Source organism: Homo sapiens, chromosome 11 (assembly GCF_000001405.40).
Source record: "Homo sapiens chromosome 11, GRCh38.p14 Primary Assembly".
Taxonomy (NCBI): domain Eukaryota; kingdom Metazoa; phylum Chordata; class Mammalia; order Primates; family Hominidae; genus Homo; species Homo sapiens.
Genome location: NC_000011.10, coordinates 19997683 through 20007415, shown reverse-complemented (window position 1 = coordinate 20007415; position 9733 = coordinate 19997683). Strand labels below are relative to the sequence as shown.

At 47.9% G+C, this 9733-nt stretch overlaps 1 protein-coding gene across 46 annotated transcripts in view, besides 2 other annotated features; it reads right to left on the bottom strand.

The window, feature by feature from the left end:
• Positions 1 to 9733, bottom strand: part of NAV2 (neuron navigator 2) — a 776366-nt gene that overhangs the window by 114186 nt on the left and 652447 nt on the right. The gene's annotated exons all lie outside the window — the stretch shown is intronic.
• Positions 5877 to 6745: an enhancer, noted in NCBI's record as "OCT4-NANOG-H3K27ac-H3K4me1 hESC enhancer chr11:20022217-20023085 (GRCh37/hg19 assembly coordinates)". NCBI's record gives its function as "activates a minimal SCP1, AML or CMV promoter by ChIP-STARR-seq in naive H9 embryonic stem cells {active_cell/tissue: H9 hESC(naive)}" and the evidence as "EXISTENCE:reporter gene assay evidence [ECO:0000049][PMID:30033119]".
• Positions 6746 to 7615: an enhancer, noted in NCBI's record as "OCT4-NANOG-H3K27ac-H3K4me1 hESC enhancer chr11:20021347-20022216 (GRCh37/hg19 assembly coordinates)". NCBI's record gives its function as "activates a minimal SCP1, AML or CMV promoter by ChIP-STARR-seq in naive and primed H9 embryonic stem cells {active_cell/tissue: H9 hESC(naive and primed)}" and the evidence as "EXISTENCE:reporter gene assay evidence [ECO:0000049][PMID:30033119]".

Here is a 9733-nt window from a genome sequence, read left to right as displayed (position 1 = left end):
CACCTCCAGGAAAAATTCTGTTCACACATCCTGGGCATATGAACAGAGTCTCATTTTCAAAACTGTTAGAGAGAGCAGTGCCACCATTTTACTTAATCACCTAATTCTTCTGTTTCAGAAAGTCCTATGGAGTCCTTACTACACCAATAAAGCCCTTACTAAAAATGGGCTGGGCACAGTGGCTCAAGTCTGTAATCCTAACACTTTTGAGGGGCCAAAGCCGTGGAGTCCAGAAGTTCAAGACCAGACTGGATGACATGGTGAAACCCTGTCTCTACAAAAAATACAAAAATTAGCCGGGCATGGTGGTGCATACCTGTAGTCCCAACTACTCTGGAGGCTGAGGTGGGAGGATTGTTTGAGCCTGGGAGGCGGAGGTTGCAGTGAGCTGAGATTGTGCTACTGTACTCCAGCCTGGGTGACAAGAGTGAGACACTGTCTCCAAAGAAAAAAAAAAAGAAGAAAATGATCTTTAGAAACCAGGGTCCAGTCTCAGCTCTACCACCAATTATGTGCAAATTATTTTGCATTTTTGTACCTTGGTCCTCTGTTGTTTTTCTTTTTGAGATAGGGTCTTGCTCTGTTGCCCAGGCTGGAATGCAGTGGTATGATTACAACTCACTGCAGCCTCAATCTCCCAGGCTCAAGTGATCCTCCCATCTCAGCCACTTGACTAGCTAGGACTGCAGGCATGTGCCACTATGCCTGGCTAATTTATTTATTTATTTATTTATTTATTTGAGATGGAGTTTTGCTCTTGTCGCCCAGGCTGGAGTGCAATGGTGCGATCTTGGCTCACTGCAACCTCCGCCTCCCGGGTTCAAGTGATTCTCCTGCCTCAGCCTCTCAAGTAGCTGGGATTATAGGCACCTGCCACCACACCTGGCTAATTTTTGTATTTTTTGTAGAGACGGGGTTTCACCATGTTGGTCAGGATGGTCTTGATCTCTTGGCCTCATGATCCACCCACCTCAGCCTCCCAAAGTGCTGGGATTACATGTGTGAGCCACTGCATTCGGCCACAATTTTTATATTTAATAGAAGGAGGCATGGGTTAAACATTTTTCAGAAGAAACATCTTTGGTGCCTCTGCTACCACCCCCAGGCTGGCATGACCTGTGGGAACCTGGCTTTCCAAGGAGGCCCTTATCTCCAGAATACAATACCCAGTCTGCTTTGTCTATAATCAAACCCTAATGATCCCTATGGGAACCTGGACACCCTGAATCATACAACTGAAAGACCTTTGAAAGATCACCTCTCTGTCTCCTTCTCACCTCACGCAGGAACCCCTTCTGTAATGTCGGGGATATACAGTTTTCCAGATTCTGAGTGAATATTCCCAGGAACAGGGAGTAACAGGGTCTGGAACTCCTGACCTCAGGTGATCCACCCGCCTCGGCCTCTCAAATGCTGGGATTACAGGCGTGAGCCACTGCAGTCAGCTGGTTCCCTCATCTTTAAAATGATGAAATCTCACTGAGTTGTCATGAGGATTAAATGAGTCAATTTAGGTAAAGTGTCTGGCTCACAGTGTATGCTACATACATGTTAGCTGCTGCTGCTGCTATTACTACTTCTACTATTATTCTAGCTTACCCAGCTGTCCGACCTCAGGCAAGTTCACTTCTCTGAGCCTCATTTCAGTTTTCTGGCATGAAAAGTGAAGGACACACCAGCCTTGCAGGAGTTCTGAAGGGTGAAGTGAGATGAAATACTTTGAGCATTCAGCTCACTGCCTGGCACAATGAAGTGCACAGAAATGTTGATTCCCTGTCCCTGTATTCCTCTCCTTATTGAAAATCTGTCTTATTACAGATAGGACTCATTTCTCGTTTTTTTTTTTTTTCTTTTTTTTAAAGAATGACTGGGCTGGGTGCAGTGGCTCAAGCCTATAATCCCAGCACTTTGGGAGGCTGAGGCAGATGGATCACCTGAGGTCAGGAGTTGAAGACCAGCTTGGCTAACAAGGTGAAACCCTATCTCTACTAAAAATATAAAAATTAGCTGGGCTTGGTGGCAGACGCCTGTAGTCCCAGCTGCTCAGGAGGTTGAGAGAGGAGAATTGCTTGAACCCGGGAAGCAGAGGTTCCTCTGAGATTGTGCCACTGTACTCCAGCCTGGGCAACAGAGCAAGACTCCATCTCAAAAAAAAAAAAAAATATATATATATATATGATTAAAACTCAGCAGAATCACTTGGGATTGAAATTGTTCTCAAACATTTATTGAACTTCTATCGTGTGGCAGTTTCTTCTCAGGCCTTGGCTTTAAAGTGTTAAGACAGACAGAAAGGGTCTCTATTGTCAGAGAGCTTGTGGGCCAGTGAGAATGAATCAGAAGACACTTCCGTTCCTGCTCTGCCTTGGAGCTTAAACTTCCTTCCCAATAATAGCTATTGTTTATTGGGATTATCGCAAGTAAGCCTCACAACTCCACCAAGAAGCACTTCTTACTATCTGCATTAATTTACTCCAAGTCATTCACTGGTTAGCAAGTGACTGAGCTGGGATTTGAGCTGAACCCTATTCTGGAGCCTTTGCTCTTAACCACTGTGCTATACTGCCTTGGGTTCAAGGTCTTGCACCAAAAGAAGGATTGGAAAAAAGGAATGGCAGACGAGAAACCCTGACTCCCTAAAACACATCTGGTGGTGTCTGGAACAACAACCAAGGCCAGTGTAGTCCATGATGAGGGCTTCATGTTTGTAATGTGAAAAGCAACCCAGTGGATTTAGGTGCTATCTTCTTTCAGCACCCCCTTAAGTTACACTAAGGCACTGGGAGGGAGAGGGAATTTATGTGAGAATGGCAGGACTGAGCCCCTCTGAAAAAAGTCACTGTAACCTGATCAGAATACCAAAACTGCCCAGCATCAGAGCCCACTGCAGTCACTTCTTCAGTGGCAGCAGAGAGAAGCCAGGCTTCTCTGGCCAGAGCCCTGCATTTACAATGCCCCTGGGTTCCTAGGGGTGCTGTAAGCTCCTCGCCAGTATTGACTTACGGCAGTGGGGAGAGGAGAGACCAGGACTTTACATGCCCATTTGACAGAAAGGGAAACTGAAGCACAAAAAAGGTGTGGATTACACCAGAAACATGGATTGTGAAATTAAAGATTCCTCCTGAGGATATTTTAGCCTGGCAAGCTTACCACCTTTTGGCATCACAATTCTAACTGTTCTGGTGAACATACAAAATAGCAAATTAAGCCTTTTGAGGTGATATGGAGGGAAATGTAGGACCAGTGTAATAACATCTGCTACTAGGAATTCCAGGTGAGCTTCTGGATGGTCAGGAGGTGTCTCCATCTCTGGAGTTTAAAGACCCCTGGTGTTTGGGAACCAATTTTCAGGAGTTCACCAGCAAGTTAAGAGAACGGGCTTATGCAGACTGGATGCAATTTTCCTAAGATGTTTTCTTCTCAAATATTCCTGAACTCACATGAGCCTTCCATACTTTCTAGCAGTAACTAGAAATAGATAGTATTATTAACAATTTAACAAAACCAGAAGCTAGAACATCCAAATCCAATGAACAGAATGGCTGTTTTTCTTACTGAAGAATAAGAGCAACAGATCCCAATAATTCAGGCTAGCAATAAGGAAGGGCTTTGTTCTCATCCCCAGCTCTTAGAGACTGGTGAGGGTCTGCTTCATGCCCACAGCCCTGGTCTGGCCTGTCCAGAACAGTGGGAGGTGTGCAGGTAGGTGGATGTGAATCTCTCACCTTTCCCACCAATAGGGTCCAGTTGCTTCCTTCCTGGAGAGGCAACAAACCAGAGCAGGGGTGATTCTTTTACCTGCTGAACTCAAGTAGAACTAACTTAGAGATGGAGGGAAGTGGGTGTGGGTAGAACAAGAGAGGCAGTGTCCCACACCTGGCACGCTGAGTCATTTACCCCTGGGAGTCGCTCAGTATAATCATTTCAGATAATGGAGAAGGCTTGTATTGCAGGGTCAGAGGACCCGGATTCTGGTCCTGTTTCTAGTCACTTGCTTGCTGTGTGATTCCGGACAAAAGACCTAGTCTCTCTGAATCAGCTGTATCAACTAACTTAAGGGTAGTGGCCATAGTTTTTCCCCTCATAAATGGATATGCAGATAAAATAGACCCTCAATACAGATGTCATCCGAATCCATCCTGATCAATTGCCAGTTCTCACCAGGTTATGATGTAAGTTAATGTGCAGCATGTTTAGAGCACCTAGCACAGGGGAGGGGAGGGAGGTACTTGTCATTTTCCACTCTCAGTGACCTCAGAATCCCACCTTTCCCCTCTCCGACTTCCCTCCCAGGGTGCAGGAAAGGTCTGCGTTTGTTTTCTGGGCTCTGCCTGAAGGGCTAGTTGCTTAGGACAGAAAGCATTTCTGTAGCCTCGCTTCCTCCCAGTTGGTGGAACAGCCACTGTCCACTCTGGTTTACAGCCCATTTATGGTGGGGTAATCTGGTCACTGGGTGTTTGTGTAGTGTTTAATCATTAGGAGGTGGCCAGTTCTAATACTGTGAGCCCCAGGGCATCTATGAATAAGTCAGCTATTTGCTTCAACCTATCAGAGTCTGTTTTTGGAAGGCTTCTCTCCAAGAACACAAGGCTGACCCCTGACACAGACAGTTCCAGGGGCGCTGGGGTAGGTTACTTCTGAAGGGCACAGTGGAACACAGCTACCGGAGGTGGCTATTACAGTGGCTTTGAGTATCAGAGTGGGGCACCTACTGGCCTGGAAAACAAGTGGTTGGCCTTCAACGATAGGATTTCCCAGAGAACAAAACTCCCCAGGCTCAGTCTCTTTTCTCCATCCCTCCCGCACATTCTGTCTTCCTTTCTACCAAACCGGGACTGCTGTTTCTCTCCCTCACCACCTATAACTCCCACCTGTTTTCCAAGGTCCAGCTAAAAGCCTACCACCTCCAGGAAGCCTTCCTTCTGACCCATGCTACAGTGCTCTTGTTCTGCCCTCTGAATCTGAACGCACTGACATCTCCCTGACTGCGCTGTCCCTTCCTTTAGTCGCTCACGACCTGATCTCTGAGATAGAGAGAGGGCTTTGGGATCTTTGAAAAAGGCTCCACTCCAGGCCTCTGTGTCCCCAAAGCACCTCTTACACAAGGAGTTCCCAGCAAGTACTATGCCTGATGAGAGGTGTTAGGGACTGAATTCCCCTTCCCATGCCCCAAATTCACATTGAAATCTAACCCCCAATGCGATAGTGTTTAGAGGTGGAGTCTTTGGAAGGTGATTAGTCATGAAGACAGAGCCCTTGTGAGTGAAGTTAGTGCCTAATAAAAAGGATCCCAGAGAGCTAGCTTGCCCTCTTTCTGCCATGTGAACGTACAAGTAGAAGTCCGAATTTCTGCAGCCCAGAAGAGGGCCTTCATCAGAACTCGACCATGCCGGCATCCTGACCTTGGACTTCCAGCTTCCAGAACTGTGAGAAAGAAGTGCCTGTTGCTTATAGCCACACAATGTGTGCTACTTTGTTATAGCAGCCTGAATGGATTAAAACAGGTGGGACAGCCACACCCCCACATCATCTCAGGGAGGCTTGCCCTGATTTTTTTTTTTATTACACTTTAGATTCTGGGGTACATGTGCACAATGTGCAGGTTTGTTATATATGTATACATGTGCCATGTTGGTGTGCTGCACCCATTAACTCGACATTTACATTAGGTATATCTCCTAATGCTTTCCGTCCCCCCTCCCCCCACCCCACAACAGGCCCCAGTATGTGATGTTCCCCTTCCTGTGTCCGAGTGTTCTCATTGTTCAATTCCCACCTATGAGTGAGAACATGCGGTGGCTTGCCCTGATGTTTACTGAAGACCTACTCTGTGTCACCCACTGTGCTAAGGGCTGAGACAGTCCTGAGAGTGAGAAAAACAACAGTGTTCATAGTGAAAAAGCCAAGGTCTCTGGATGGAGAGAGATAACCCATCCATCTAAAACTGGAGTTCATTTCAGTAAGTGCTGAATGAGCACCGACTATGTGGCAGACATCATATTTTTGGGTCCTGAAAACCCAGTGATAAATAAGATAATCCCTGTCTTCAAGCCAAGCAACAGGGAAAATAGGAAAAAAGAAGGTAAAGATTTGGTTAGACTTAAAATAAAGGATAGCACGGGGTCCTTTGGGAGCCCTGAGGAAGGGACTTACTAGGCCTGAGATGCCTAGAAGTGGGCATTGGAGCTGAATCCAGGAAGAGGATGTGTTAGCCTGGCAAAGAAGGGTCAGGAGAGGGCATCCCAGGGGGCAAAGGCATGGAGGTTTACAATACCCCGGAGCGTGCTAGAGACTGCCAAGTGTTTGGTGCAGCCGGCTTAGATGTTGGGGACGAGGCGGGTGTGATAGCAGGGGCCAAGGCTGGAGGGTCATCTCTGAGGCTTGCACTTTATCCTGTATGTGACACAGAGCCACAAAGGGTTTTCAGCAGGCAGGTGGCACACAGGATCAGATCTGCATTTCAGGAGGATCACTGTGGCTGTGCTGGGATGATGCGCTGGGTAACAGGACGGGCACAGCAGGACAGTAGCAGTGAGAGCAGAGAGACAGTGCCAGGAACCGCAGCACACAAGGACGTGCTACAGAGCAGTGGATGAGGGAGGGAGAGGAAGCGTTCGTCCCAGCTCTCCAGTGGAGCTCAAACCTGAAGTCTCAGAGCTGACCTCTGTGGCACCAGAGAGGCTGGGTCATTAGCATGACAAGTGCTGCTTGTGTACAGAAGCCTCCCTAGCTGACTTCCTGCAGGGACATTCAAGGCCAGGGCTCCCATTAGCTCCCCCAGCTTGCTGGCTTTGCTCACTACCCCTTTATTCCAGATCATTAAGAACGCAGCCCTCTGGGAGGTTTCCTTGAGGCCTTTGTTTAAACTGAGAAGCAAGTACATTTAATTGCCTCAGCTAGACACCCTGCTTTACTCTCCTCACACCCTCCACACCCCTTCCTGGTCGGTACCCCGGGCCCTCCCCCAGGCAGCTTCATCCCACAGCTTGTGTCCTGAAACATAATAAGTGCATGCTCTGAGGCCCTCCTCAAATTATGGTTCTGATCTTTACTTCCAAAAACAGAGCTGGAATTATAGCTTGGCTCCATGAGAAGTTCAAATCCACAGGGTCATAAACCCTTTCATGTTCTGTTTCAAGACCTTTGCTGGGGATTTTAACAGGTTTGCACCTCTGATGTTGTTACACGGTGGTTAGTCTGCCAGTTCCAAAGATTGAGACCTCCTGCCAGGATGTGGAGCGTGTTAACTACTTCGGGTTTTGCCAGTTATCCATCAGGGTCTCAGGCCTTAAATATCTTCTGCCTTTTTTTCATTGCCAGAGTTCCCCAAGGACAGAGGTCAGGGAATAAGAGCTGAGTGAGACCTCCCAAAGCAGATCACAAAGAGAAGGGGACACTGCACCATGGAGGTGACACAGGCCAGTGGCCACGGTGCTGGACCTGGGGCTGAGAGGACCCACATGTATATCCTGGCCGATTTAGGTATCTTAGACTTTCTGTGCCTCACTTTCCTTATCTGTGAAATCAGCATTCTGATCATGACTAAATAAAAATTGCTGCCATTGATCAAGGGCACTGACTGGACCAGGCACTGTGCTAACCTTGTGCCTGGCACTGTCTCATTTAATCTTCACAGCAGCCCGATGAAGACATGGGGGCTCAGGATGGTTAACTGACCTCTACGTAGCAGCACAGTCAGCATCTGAACTTGTAAGAGTGTCACATAGGTTAAAATCATTTTTCCTGGCCCAGTGCGGTGACTCACGCCTGTAATCCCAGCACTTTGGGAGGCCGAGATGGGCTGATCACCTGAGGTCAGGAATTTGAGACCAGCCTGGCCAACATGGTGAAACCCCATCTCTACTAAAAATACAAAAACATTAGCCAGGCATGGTGGCGGGTGCCTGTAATCCCAGCTACTGGGGAGGCTGAGGCAGGAGAATTGCTTGAATCCGGGAGGCTGAGGTTGCAGTGAGCTGAGATTGCGCCATTGTGCTCCAGCCTGGGTGACAAGAGCAAAACTCCATCCAAAAAAACCCCACATTTTCCCAAAGCAATAATAGACTGGGTTAAACCAGTCAGTCTCCCACAAGAGAAGTTCCTGAACATGAATAACCCGATTTTTTTGAAGGCAAGTTGGGCCATGGTTATCTCTCTTTGAGGACTGGCTGAGGACTGAGTGGGTGGGTTCACTGTGTGCCACAACAGCAGGGTTGATTTATGCCAGGCATGAGTGGCTTACAGCCGACTGATGCCCCTTTCTAATGGGTCACAGCCCTGTTCTGGTTATTGGCTAGTGCCCTATTCTGGTTGGTTGGCACCAGAAGCACACTGGTTTTAAACATTTTGCACATCAGCCCTGCATCACAGTGCCTGGCAGTCATTTATTCCTTCATGGTATATGTAATAAGCACCCTCTCTGGACGGGCCCTGTGCTGGGAGAGGGGATTCACCTGCAAACGGAGCTGACCTGGTTTCTGTCTTATTGATACTGATAGTCTAGTGGGAAAGACATAACAGGCAAATAAATAAAAATTAACACACATGAAAGTAAGAGATGTCAAATAAACAGTTTCCAAAAAGAAACCAACAGCTGAAACTTTCTTTAGATTGAGTGGTCAGTAGCAGCCTCTCTAAGTGGTGAAGTTTGAGTTGAGACCTGAAGGAAGAGAATAAGCCAGGCTTATAAGGAGAAAAGGAGAGAGGGGGGGAAGCACAGTCTATGCAGAGGGGACAGTATGTGCAAAGCTTCTGACGAAAGAGAAGATCCGGCACGTCCAGGGGAATGGATGAAGGCAGGAGTCAGGGAGGTAAAGCGTGATGAGGTGAGGCTGGAGAGGTGCGCAGGGGCCAGAACACACACCCCCTTGGAGGCCACGGCAAGGAGTCTGACCTTTATTCTAGGTGCAATGGAAAGGCACTAAGGGAGGGTTTCAGGCAAGGGCAGAGGAGATCTGATGTATATGTTAAGGTTACAATAGCTTCTGGGTGGAGAACGTACCGCATGAAGGCCCTGGTGGGTACAGTGGGCCTGGAAGGCTGCAGTGGGAGAGCTCAGATGAGAGAGGACGGCAGCCTAGACCCCTGCACCATGGCCAATGAGAGAGAAGGAGAGGGAGGTGGGCGGAGAGAGGGAGAGAGAGAAGCAGAGAGACAGGGAGAAACACAGAGACAGAGAGAAGCTGAGAGATTTGAAACTGTTTGGGGGGAGTTTGCCGACTGGAAGGAAAAGGGGGAGGAAAACTCTTCAGTCAGTCTTATCAATTATCTTAGGATAATATTAATTACCTAAAATATAGCAAACGTCTCCTACTGTATATGCCCAGCTCTGTGCAAAGCCTGGGAATGCTGAGAAAAACACACTTTTGTTCTGCTTCCTTCCTCTCAGTCTTGGGGGAGACCATACCTAGGAGCTTATTGTTCCAAAGGCATGTTAAGGGCTACCAGAGAACAAAACATGGTTATGGAGAGACCCCGGATAGATGAGAGCCCCCAGAGGATCCTACCTGGGGTGGAGGGAGGAGTGTGGAAGGCAGGGCTATAGCCAGCCATGGACCATGAGTCGGGATTCCCTGGATAACGTAAAGGATGCCAGGAAGCTTTTCCTGATTATTCTTGGTGCTGGATCTACCGACTAGTCAACAGCGGCCTGCCCTCCCCTTTTAGAGATGGGGCAGCCTGGTGTCTCTGATATAACACTGGCTTTAGAGCCAGACAGCCCTAAGTTAGAATT